Genomic DNA, 12628 nt, shown 5'->3' with positions numbered 1-12628 from the left:
ATTCTCCCGTCTCAGCCTCCCGAGTAGCTGGGATTACAGACGCCCGCCACCGCGCCGTGTTAATTTTTGTAGTTTTCGTAGAGACGGGGTTTTGCCATGTTGGCCAGACTGGTCTCGAACTCCTAACCTCGTGATCCACCCTCCTAGGCCTCCATAAGCAGGTTAGGCGCGGTGGCTCACGCCTGTAATCCCAGAACTTTTGGGAGGCCGAGGCGGGTGGATCACGAGGTCAGGAGATGGAGACTATCTCTTGAGCCTGGTGTGGTGGCGGGCGCCTGCAGTCCCAGCTACTCCCGAGGCTGAGACAGGAGAATCGCTTGAACCCGGGAGGTGGAGGTTGCCTGGGCGACAGAGAGAGACTCTCTCCAAAAAAACAAAACAAAAAAAACACATAAGCAAACAACTATACAAGCAGTATAAAGCATGTCTAATACTGCCATATCACAATGGCATATTTCAATAGGGAAATGGTATTTTAAATACCATTTTTTAAAAACCTTTTATTCTGGAAAACATGCGAAACTCGAATAGTATGGAGAACCCCATGTGTTAGTCACTCACTTAGCTTTGACAATTATTAACTCATAGCCAAGGTCGGTTTTGTTTCATGTTGTATCCCCCCACACAAACTAGATTATTTTGAAACAAATCTTAAACATTGTGTCACAACATTAGCGATTTTGACTTTTACCAGATTGCCCCAGATTAAGGTCACAAAATTTACTTTTAGTAGAATAATAGTTCTCATTTTTGTTTGTTGGGCTTCCCTTCTCTGTTTATACATGATTTCTGTACAGCAGAAAAGAAGAAGAAAATTAACTCTTGATCCAATGCCTTCAGCTCCTCAAAATCAAAATACAACCTTGCTGCTTTATTGTGTACAAAAGCAAAAATTCTTGAGCTATTAATGACTATAATTGAAAAGCGAACAAATACAGATTTCCCCAGTCCTGTTTTGGCAGAGACCTGCCTTTTAACCCACTTTAATAGAGATAACTTTGTGTCAAAGTTAAACTACAGTTAATAATTCATAATGAAAACTTAAAATGTTTCTTTACAGTAGTTGTGTAAAGATACTGCTGTTACCTTAGGTTAAGAATTAAGCAAAAGATAATCTTCTAACATAGAATTGTTTTCCAAAGTGCCCCCGTCTGCCCTATTTCCAAATAACAAATTTAGCAAATATGAATGAAACCTTAATTTTTGTGAATAGTATGAAATCACAGCATAAGTGTTCACGTTTTTCTTTCTTGTGTCTAAAGGATCTCTCTTACAATGGAAGTTGACAGGAATATTATAAATATTATAAATGTCTTTGTTGCATAACTTTCAAATTTCTGGTCGTGAATAGTTTTCAGCTTTTAGGTCTGTTATTTGAGTTTTGTAGGTGTACTTTGAGCTTGATCAGGTACAGTGGAAATGTTACATGTTATGTTTTAGTTATGACTACCTGGAAGATGGGGAAAGATACACCTCTTAAAATTGATTTAGGAAAGAAACGCCAATTTAGTATCTGGGAAAGGACACAACACATTTTTAAAAATGTGTAGTGCTTCCCATTAAGCTTAACGTAAAACTTTTAAGCATTGAGAATTGTTACCATAAATATAGTTTCTTGAGAATAAGTTGCTCTCTTTTAGGTTTCAGCCAGAAAGTCCATGTATATACAGATTACAGCAGGTCCTTGAATAATGTTGTTTCAAGATAATGTTGAGAAAAAAAACTGTCTGTGGAGTTTACACGTTCTCCCTATCCCTGCATGGGTTTTCTCTGGGTACTCTTGATTTCCTCCCACATCCCAAAGCTGTGCACGTGAGGTTCACTGGTGTGTGGAGCTGTGTGTGTAAGTGTGAGTGCTTTCTGCAGTGGATGTCCTGTCCAGGACTGGTTCCGGCCTTGCACCCTAAGCTGCTGAGATAGGCTCCAGCCACCCCAACCCTGAACTGGAATAAGTGGTAAAAAAAAAAATTTTTTTTTTTGAGATGGAGTTTAGCTCTTGTCACCCAGGCTGCAGTGCAATGGTGCAGTCTCGGCTTACTGCAACCCCATGCCTGTAATCCCAGCACTTTTGGAGGCTGAGGTGGGCAGATCACCTGAGGTCAGGAGTTGGAGACCAGCCTGGCCAGCATGGCGAAACCCTGTCTCTACTAAAAATAAAAAAAATTAGCCGGGCTGGGTGGCGGGCACCTGTAATCCCAGCTACTCAGGAGGCTGAGGCAGGAGAGTTGCTTGAACCTGGGAAGCAGAGGTTGCAGTGAGCGGTTATCGTGCCATTGCACTCCAGCCGGGGCAACAAGAGCAAAAGTACTTCTCAAAAAAAAAAAAAAGGCATGTATACTTCACATTTATTTCAGTGTTTAATATTCGAAGTGTTTGGTCTTTATTTAAAAGTTTGGTGATATTTTTCTGATGAGAAATATGCCCTAGAACCTAACTCTTGTTTGTATCAATAAGCGTGTGTTAGTCGGAAGTCTCAGTTTCCAAGAACCTACCCCTTATGTTAAGAGAGGATTTACTGTATTTTAAGTTTAGAAATGGCCATGACTCATGGAACTCTCCTCCATCCCCATTCTAAAGTCCAGATCATTGATATCATTCTGGGTGTTATCAAAATGGATACTGCTTCATCCAGTCTCTCTCCCCAATACCACAAGGTAGTCTCAGTTTGTGGGGCAACTTTCTTTGAGCCTTTTTACTGGATTGAGTAAGAGTGTAATTCAGTATAAAGATGAAACTTTCATGAAAAGGGTATCTTTTTGTGGGATTCCACAAGTCAATCCCAGAGTTTGTCGCCCAGGCTGGTCTTGAACTCCTGAGCTCAAGTCATCTTCCCACCTCAGCCTCCTTAGTAGCTGGGATTATAGGCAGAGGCCTTGTTTTCATGAGCCTCTAAATTGGATCTTCTTATTTGATGTGATACCCAGTGACACAGAATTGTTCAATTTGAGGAAATATAAATTCCTCCCCTCTCAAATAAGAGCTTTGGAGTTGCTTTTCTCTCAGAATGGGATTTTAGAGCTTTCAAAAATGTTTAGAGAATTTTATGACAGATTTGTTTCACACTAGACCTATAACAGGTTATTTTACATTGACTTCTGGTGATGGAGACATTTGTGGTTGAAATGCTTCTCGTGTAATTTTCTACATGAGCTTTTCTTTAAATAAAACTTCACCAGAGTCAAGGCTGTATACCATTTGTGCTGTTCCAAAAAATATAAATTGCCAGTTATCAGTTGAACTATGAGAGGACATGTTAGTTGCTATGGTTATTTACCCCCACCATTTTATTATGAAAAATTTCAAACATATAACAAAGTTTATGAAGTTTTATTGTACATCTCTTTAGATACCATCTACTTTCTATTTTTGCCTCCCTGTTTCATGGTGCTGAACACCGTCTACTATTTTTTTTTTTTTTTTTGAGACGGAGTCTGGCTCTGTTACCCAGGCTGGAGTGCAGTGGTGTGATCTCGGCTCACTGCAAGCTCCACCTCCTGGGTTCATGCCATTCTCCTGCCTCAGCCTCTCGAGTAGCTGGGACTACAGGTGCCCGCCACCATGCCTGGCTAATTTTTTTGTGTTTTTAGTAGAGATGGGGTTTCACCGTGTTAGCTAGAATGGTCTCGATCTCCTGACCTTGTGATCCGCCCACCTCGGCCTCCCGAAGTGCTGGGATTACAGGCGTGAGCCACTGTGCCCGGCATACCTTCTGCTCTTTGTCATGAACATTTTACCATACAGTATTATGAAGCTTGAATAATGTTGGCCAAATCCATTGTTCTCACCTGCTAAGGAGATAATAGGATTATAAATATATAGCTGTGTTGATCTTATCAAATGCCACGGGATGGATGGGCTTGGATATCTGTCTTGTTGACAGCTTAATGCTCTGAACTAGAAAACCTTACTGCAGAGAAAAGTAATATTTTTAAAGTGGTAAAATGGGAATTACTGCAAATAGCTTAATTTGTTTTTTAAGTGTTTACATTCCCATACTGGTGAATAAGGTTGATGTAACAGTGATTTATGTCACCAGATAAATGGAAGTAGAGAAAAATTTCTGCAGGCTGTTAATTGCTGTATATTTTCTGGGATTACATATGTTTATTTGTTAAAGAAGTAGACTCAGGGAACTCCCTCAAAGTATATTTACTGGAAGCAAAAGTGGAAAAATCTATTTGAGAAAGTGTTTGCTTTCGATTAAAAATTAGTCTTCTGAATATCAAATCTGTAACCCATCTGGCATCTGTTTAATCTGGAATCTAATTTGGGAAAGAAGTGTGATGACTATGTGGGTTTATAACAGTAATGGAAGCAAAACTGGCCATTTTATTATGATAGAAATTTTGTGTCATGTCTCCCAGACAATAAAGGCTAAGAAAATCTATTTAAATACATTGGGGTCTTTTCCCCTGAATGAACATGATTGCTGAGGGTTAAACCTTCATTAGATTGCCTCTGCTTTTTTTTTTTTTTTTTTTTTTTTTTTTTTTGTTGAGATAGTCTTGCTCTGTTGCCCAGGCTGGAATGCAGAGGTATCATCTCGGCTCACTGCAACCTCCACCTCCTGGGTTCAAGCAATTCTCCTGCCTTAGCCTCCCGAGTAGCTGAGACTACAATTGAGCACCACCACGCCCGGCTAATTTTTTGTATTTTTAGCAGAGATGGGGTTTTGCCATGTTGCCTAGGCTGGTCTCGAACTCCTGAGCTCAGGCAATCCGCCTGCCTTAGCCTCGCAAAGTGATAGGATTACAGGCTTGAGCCACTGTTCCCGGCCTTGCCCCTATACTTGATGTAGCTACAGAACTGGTTGCTCAGTGAGTGGGTTGGTTTTAGTCAGCATATTCTCTGATCCTATTTAAAATTTTTTACAAGTGGAGTGTTGCTGTAAGTTTTATAGATGTTTATGTGTAAGGACAGGTTTAGTGAATTTGCTGGATAATAATATTTACTGCTATTGAGCTCTTACCATGTGCCAGGTTAGAATTACAGGGTGAAAGTTATTTTATGCAGAAAAGGAATTAAAAGGTCAGGTTGAATTTACCTAATAATATAAAAGTTGCAGTTCATTTAGCTCTTTCCTTGAACCAAAGAAAAGGGTTTCTTAGACCCTTTATGTTGTATTTCTAATACTCATAAACATCTTTGCAGCGTAAAGCTCATAATAATTGCTGAGGATGCTGATGCGCTTCCGAGGGGCCAGATAACTGGCTCAGAGTCCTGAGGCACCAAGTATTAGTTCTAGAGCACAGGCTGGTCTGGCTCCAAAGTCAGTGTTCTTTCCACTGAACCATGCTTTGTCTCTAAATTATGCTTAGGTGCTTTTTGTTTAGGATAATTGATTCTGCTTGTCACTGGTGGCCCTCCCCTGACTCTCCCCACCGCAGCAGCTAGGATGAATTTTGCTCATTAGAACCCTAGATCAATTTGAAAGAAAGTCTGGTTAAGTAATAGTCTTTTAGATGGACCCTTGAAATAGCTTTCCAGTTTACTTTTATTTGTTATGTCAAATTAAGCTAAAACTTAAAGCTGATCCACAGGTTTGTGTGTGGGGAGGGGCTGTCTTATTAACCTTTGTGTTAAAGGAGGCCAGCTCCTAAATTACTGCTATCGTGTGTCATCAGGTTTGTTAAAAATTGCTGGCATGGTGGCCCACGCCTGTAATTCCGTCACTTTGGGAGGCCAAGGCAGGCGCATCACCTGAGGTCAGGAGTTCGAGACCAGCCTGGCCAACATGGTGAAACCCCATCTCTACTAAAAATACAAAAATTAGCTGGGTGTGGTGGTACGTGCCTGTAATCCCAGCTACCCCGGGGGCTGAGGCAGGAGAATGGCTTGAACCCGGGAGGTGGAGTTTGCAGTGACCTGACATCGTGCCGCTGCACTTCAGCCTGGGCAACAGAGCAAGACTCTGTATCCAGGGGGGGAAAAAAAAAAAAAGAACTGTAGTCCAGGTTGTTGCTAAAAAAAAAAATTCATTTCTTCTGAATTCTAACATTCTGCTTTAGTGGAAATGAGTTAACTAAGCTTCCAATTAACTTTATAGGATAGGTGCTGGTTGTCCTCTTTGCTTCCTAGCCCTTTCTAACATCCCTCTTGTGGCTAATACTGTTGGGAGTATTTAGTACAGCTTCCTGTTTGGAATTGAACTGCTTCCTGAACAATTTTGTTTTACTTTTGTTTGAAACGGTGATCTGAATCAGAAGCTTCTTTGGTATTCCACCTGGGCAGTCTTCTCTTATGGTTAGTCTTGAAAGGCTGGATCAGTGAAATTAAATCTGCCTTTGGATGTGAGCTTTTAGTGAAATGGTGTCTGAAGTTCCATTTTGTGTTTAACCTCAACTGAGGCTACCCTGTAGTCTGTAATGACATAGCATGTCTCATTAATCACTAATAGGTGTTGGAAATACCCCTTGGCATGAAGTGAGCAGATAATGCTGCTTACATTGTCACTATATTAGCTCCCTTCAGAGATGAGCTTTAGGATCTAACTAGATCTTGTCTGATTCTCTCCTATCTTTGCTGTTTTGAAATCCATGCCTTCTATAGATTACAATTAACTGAGGCATGAATTTTCTACCCTTGCAGATTCCACCCTGATTCAAATAGGGCCATTGTCTGCTGAAGCCATTGTGATTTTATGCAGAATGCTAGGCAGTCCTTTCCTCTGTCAGAAAGAACAATTTATATGTAATAATAAGTCTCATTATGCTTGGAAGCTTATTTTCCTTGTTGCACAATTGAACCAACCTGCTCATGAAAGCTCCATGACCCTTTACCTAGATGACAGTCAAATATAGTTAGGCAAATAAGTTTCCTTTTGGTTTGTCATTGAGTAAACCTTTGCAACCTGTAATGTTTAGCAAGTGACTACTTCTGTATAGTAATTTTCCTTTTAGTTGAGAATTTATTCAAGCACCAAACATAAAAAAGAATAAAAGTGAAATAAGCTTTCTTTTGCATAAGGGACTTTCTATAATTTGCTACTTTTTATCTTCTTTTTTTTTTTTTTGAGGTGGAGTTTTGCTCTTGTCGCCCAGGCTGGAGTGCAGTGGCGTGATCTCGGCTCACTGCAACCTCCACCTCCCAGGTTCAAGCGATTTTCCCACTTCAGCCTCCCGATAAGCTGAGATTACAGGTGCGTACCACCATGCCTGGCTAATTTTTTTTTTTTTTTTTTAGATGGAGTCTTGCTCTATCGCCCAGGCTGGAGTGCAGTGGCGCGATCTTGACTCACTGCAAGCTCTGCCTCCCGGGTTCACGCCATTGTCCTGCCTCAGCCTCTGGAGTAGCTGGGACTACAGGTGCCCGCCACCATGCCCAGCTAGTTGTTTTTTTTTTTTTTTTTTTAGTGGAGACGGTGTTTCACCGTGTTAGCCAGGATGATTTTGATCTCCTGACCTTGTGATCCACTCGCCTTGGCCTCCCAAAGTGCTGGGATTACAGGCGTGAGCCACCGCGCCCGGCCATGCCTGGCTAATTTTTATATTTTTATTTTATTTTATTTTTGAAGCAGAGTCTCGCTCTGTTACTCAGGCTGGAGTGCAGTGACCCAATCTCAGTTCACTGCAACCTCTGCCTCCCGGGTTCAAGTGATTGTTCAGCCTCAGCCTCCCAAGTAGCTGGGATTACAGGCATGTGCCACCATGCCAGACTAATTTTTTTTTATTTTTAGTAGAGACAGTGTTTCACCATGTTAGCCAGGCTGATCTTGAACTCCTGATCTCAGGTGATCCACCTGCCTTGGCCTCCCAAAGTGTTGGGATTACAGGTGTGAGTCACTGCGCCGGCCTAATTTTTGTATTTTTAGTAGAGATGGGATTTCACCATGTTGGCCAGCCTAGCCTCAAACTCCTGACTTCAGGTGATTGGCCCACCTTGGCCTCCCAAAGTGCTGGGATTACAGGCCTGAGCCACGGTGCCTGGTTTAGTATGCATTCTTGACTGGGGAAAATTGCAGTGGTAAGTGTGCACTATATAGATATATTGATAATGATCATGATGGCTTTGGATTATCTTTTGAAATTGGAGGATTTCAAAAAATAGATTTGCATATGGAAATGTGCATTTTTGTTGGTTTTTTGAGATGGAGTCTTGCTTCATTGCCTAGGCTGGAGTGCAGTGGTGCACTCAGGGCTCACTGCAGCCTCAATCTTCTGGTCTCAAGCAGTCCTCCCATCTCAGCCTTCCAAGTAGCTGAGACTACAGGTGCATGCCATCATGCCTAGCTAGTTTTAAACTTTTTGGAGAGATGGGGTCTTCCTCTGTTTCCTAGGCTGGCCTTGAACTCCTGGGCTCAAGCAGTTCTGTCTTGGCCTCCCAAAGTGTTGGGATTACAGGCGTGAGCCACCACACCTGGCCAAAACATGAATGTTTGTATGAATCTCAGCTATCACTGTGTAAAAGTATTTGAGATCCAAATGACTGCTGTATTTCTCCCCTCTCTCTCTCTCTTCTTTCTTTGCTAAGTTGATGATGGTTATTTTTTAGCATTGTCTTTATGTCTGACTCTAACAGCTCCTTTTTCCGTTCTTATATTTAGCTTTTTTTATGTGTGTTTTAAAATTTTTTTTTTGTTTTTGAGACGGAGTCTCACTCTGTCATCCAGGCTGGAGTGCAGTGGTGTGATCTCGGCTCACTGCAAGCTCCGCCTCCTGAATTCATGCCAGTCTCCTGCCTCAGCCTCCCGAGTAGCTGAGACTACAGGCGCCCGCCACCATGCCTGGCTAATTATTTTGTATTTTTAGTAGAGACGGGGTTTCACTGTGTTAGCCAGGATGGTCTCGATCTCCTGACTTCGGGATCTGCCACCCTCGGCCTCCCAAAGTGCTGGGATTATAGGCGTGAGTCCACATGCCCGGCCCTTAAATTTTTAAATTTTATTTTAATAGAGACAGGGTCTTGCCATGTTGCCCAGGCTGGTCTCAAACACCTGAGCTCAAGCGATCCACCTGCCTCGGCCTCCCAAAGTGCTGGGGTTACAAGCATGAGCCATCACACCTGGCCTTTATTTTTTACTTCTGCTTTGGGCTAGAAAACTGAACACCCTGGGCCAGGTGCGGTGGCTCACGCCTGTAATCGCAGCACTTTGGGAGGCCGAGGTGGGCGGATCACGAGGTCAGGAGATCGAGACCAGCCTGGCTAACATGGTGAGACCCATCTCTACTAAAAATACAAAAAATTAGCCGGGCATGGTGGCATGCACCTGTAATCCCAGCTACTCGGGAGGCTGAGGCAGGAGAATCGCTTGAACCCGGGAGGCGGAGGTTGCAGTGAGCGGAGATCACGCCATTGCACTCCAGCCTGGGCAACAGAGCGAGACTCTGTCTCAAAAAAAAAAAAAAAAACTAGACACCCTGCTTCTCAGAATAGGGGATAGGGAATTTGGAAACAAAACAAAAACTAGACACCCAAACTTACAAAAATTGTTCAACATAGAAAACTTCTTGGCTCAGGTGAGGCCCCTATTGGTAAAAGGCATGGGCTATGTTAGAAGGTCTTTGGTATTTGGGCTGCTCAGAGGCCTTTTTCAGTTCCCATTCATGCCAGTCTTTGAATAGCTGAGATATTAGAACAACTGAGCTCTAGACTGGAAAGTTGTTAGTATAATATACTATCTATGAAAAGAACCTGAGCTGTTAAAATACCAGAAAATAAACTAGAGCTCATGATTTATTTCTGGAATCAATCAGACAATGAACAGCAATTTTTTATTGCCTGTTAAGCCATAGTAGCAGTGAGAAACTGAAACAAGCAAAAACACTTAGTGTTGTAAGAATGTATAAAAGCATCTCAAGGTAAGAAATTCTGTGTTACTACTGACAACTACCATTTAAGTTGAGGAACCTCTAGATAAATCAGACCGCAGAATTTGAGAATTAAACTCAAATTCTGTAATGTAAAGTTCACTTCTAAAAATGATTATGATTTGGACTTATTAGAGATAATGTGCTTTTTTCATATTCTGCAATTTAATATGCCACTATTTATGTACCCAATGCCTTTTGGTAAAATTTTCCATAAAATTGTATTTGGGTCACCAAGCATATGCCAACGACATTTACGAATAAAGTGGTAGGTATAAAGGGAAAGAAAACACAGGTTTGAAAATCAGTCTTATGTGATCGGACGATATGTAATGTACAGTTCCTTTTAAAAAGCATTATTGCCGGGCGCGGTGGCTCACGCCTGTAATCCCAGCACTTTGGGAGGCCGAGGCGGGCGGATCACGAGGTCAGGAGATCGAGACCATCCTGGCTAACACGATGAAACCCCGTCTCTACTAAAAATACAAAAAATTAGCCGGGCGAGGTGGCGGGCGCCTGTAGTCCCAGCTACTTGGGAGGCTGAGGCAGGAGAATGGCGTGAACCCTGGAGGCGGAGCTTGCAGTGAGCCGAGATTGCGCCACTGCACTCCAGCCTGGACGACAGCGAGACTCCGTCTCAAAAAAAAAAAAAAAAGGCATTATGAGGTTGGGTGTGGTGGCTCATGCCTGTAATCCCAGCACTTTGGGAGGCTGAGGTGGGTGGAGCACCTGAGGTCAGGTGTTCGAGACCAGCCTGGACAACTTGGCAAAACCCTGCCATTTCTACTAAAAATAAAAATAAAAAAATTAGCCAGGCGTGGTAGCGGGCACCTGTAACCCCAGCTACTCAGGAGTCTGAGGCAGGAGAATTGCTTGAACCCGGGAGGCGGAGGTTGCAGGGAGCCGACATCACGCCACTGCACTCCATCCTGGGGGACAGGGTAAGACTCCATCTCAAAAAAAAACCTGAACAAACAAAGCCTAAACATTATGAGATATTCATATTACTCTCATCAGGGAATAATTGGGACTGGAAAAGGAAAGTTCTGCTGTCTCTTATAAATGTGTCTCTGCAAAATATTCTTCACCCAGCTTCCAGGCAATTGTGTCTTTTTTTTTTTTCCCAGAGGAGTCTCACTCTGTGGCCCAGGCTGGAGGGCAGTGGTGCGATCTTGGCTCACTGCAACCTCTGCCTCCTGCATTCAAGCCATTTTTGTGCCACAGCCTCCCAAGTAGCTGGGATTACAGGCCTGCGCCACCATGCCTGGCTAATTTTTGTATTATTTATTTATTTTCTTTGAGACGGAGTCTCGCTCTTTTGCCAGGCTGGAGTGCAGTGGCGCGATCCTGAGTCACTGCAACCTCCACCTCCCAGGTTCAAGCGATTCTCCTGCTTCAGCCTGCCAAGTAGCTGGGACTACAGGTGTGCCATCACGCCCAGCTAATTTTTGTATTTTTAGTAGAGATGGGTTTCCCCATGTTGGCCAGGGTGGTCTCAATCTCTTTTTTTTTTTTTTTTTGTGACGGAGTCTCACTCTGTCACCCAGGCTGGAGTGCAGTGGTGCGATCTCTGCTCACTGCAAGCTCCGTCTCCCGGGTTCACACCATTCTGCCTCAGCCTCCCAAGTAGCTGGGACTACAGGCCCCCGCCATCACGCCTGGCTAATTTTTTGTACATTTAGTAGAGACGGAGTTTCACCGTGTTAGCCAGGATGGTCTCGATCTCCTGACCTCGTGATCCACCCGCCTCGGCCTCCCAAAGTGCTGGGATTACAGGCGTGCGCCACCATGCCTGGCAGTCTCAATCTCTTAACCTCGTAATTTCCCACCTCGGCCTTCCAAAGTGCTGGGATTACAGGCATGAGCCACCATGCCCAGCCTAATTTTTGTATTTTTAGTAGAGATGGGGTTTCATCATGTTGGCCAGGCTGGTCTTGAACTCCGGGTCTCAGGTGGTCTGCCCGCCTCGGCCTCCCAAAGTGTTGGGATTACAGGCCATGAGCCACCATGTCTGGCCGCTTGTGTCTTTTGAAGACTCTACTGCATGCTGCCTCAAACCATGACGTCATGCCTTCAGTCTTCCCTACTTGTAAATTATAGGTTTCCCCAAAACTTGAGCAGTATGTCTTCAGTTTCAGAGAAAAGACCTACCCTACTAAATTATTATTATTTTTTATTTTCCAGAGTTTATTAACCACTTAACCTCTCAGAACTGAACAAAGACAACATTGTTCCTGGAACGCCCTCTTTTTAAAAAAGGTACATATAATTTGGCTTTATAATTTCTGGCCTGTTGATAATCAGTGGTACTTTTGAATTCTTTAATGAGTTGTGTGGAGAATGATTTTTACTTCTGGCTATAATATTAGAGAAACAAATTTTATGCAGTTTGAATTTCATCTTTACTCTTGATTTAATTAGAAAGTAAGTACAGGAAAAGTTATTGGCAAGAATGTAAAGCCTATGTTCTTTAAATATAGAGACATGAGAATTGATGACTGAAGCTGTCATTAAACATGACTGGCTCAATAAGCTTCTTGGTCATAGTATCTTTTGTAGTTTGCTTTTTTTAAAAAAACCCTTTGATTTCTCAGATTGTTTATGTTAAACATGATTTTCAAACTCATAGAACGAATTTAGCATTGTTTTCTATTGTGAGATAGGGTTACGAATCAAGCTTCGTTGACCACTAGCAGCTTGTGAACATTCAGATAAAAAAGGAGTTTTCTAAGAGTGTTCAAGATTTTCTGGTCTTTTGTCAGGGCAATGCAAAATACACTATGTGGGTTAATACTGCTTCCTGCTTTTAACACTTTCCCTCT

General features: G+C 42.6%; 1 protein-coding gene across 28 annotated transcripts in view, besides 1 other annotated feature; it reads left to right on the top strand.

Annotated features, from left to right (window-relative positions):
• The window catches only part of STAU1 (staufen double-stranded RNA binding protein 1), a 105957-nt gene that overhangs the window by 33036 nt on the left and 60293 nt on the right, over positions 1 to 12628 (top strand). For 14 of the 28 annotated variants that reach the window (NM_001319135.2, NM_017452.4, NM_001319134.2 and 11 more), the window contains one exon: positions 11991 to 12065. The exons of 4 other annotated variants lie outside the window; for them this stretch is intronic. The gene's annotated coding sequence lies outside the window, so the exon portion shown is untranslated. Of the gene's footprint in view, positions 1 to 7015; positions 7963 to 11990; positions 12066 to 12628 lie in introns of those variants that run through there. 10 more of the 28 variants (NM_004602.4, NM_001037328.3, NM_001322931.2 and 7 more) reach the window with 4 other exon arrangements.
• Positions 5269 to 5797: an enhancer, noted in NCBI's record as "H3K4me1 hESC enhancer chr20:47797000-47797528 (GRCh37/hg19 assembly coordinates)". NCBI's record gives its function as "activates a minimal SCP1, AML or CMV promoter by ChIP-STARR-seq in naive H9 embryonic stem cells {active_cell/tissue: H9 hESC(naive)}" and the evidence as "EXISTENCE:reporter gene assay evidence [ECO:0000049][PMID:30033119]".

The sequence above is a fragment of the Homo sapiens genome, chromosome 20 (assembly GCF_000001405.40).
Source record: "Homo sapiens chromosome 20, GRCh38.p14 Primary Assembly".
NCBI lineage: Eukaryota > Metazoa > Chordata > Mammalia > Primates > Hominidae > Homo > Homo sapiens.
This window is presented reverse-complemented; position numbering and strand designations above follow the sequence as displayed.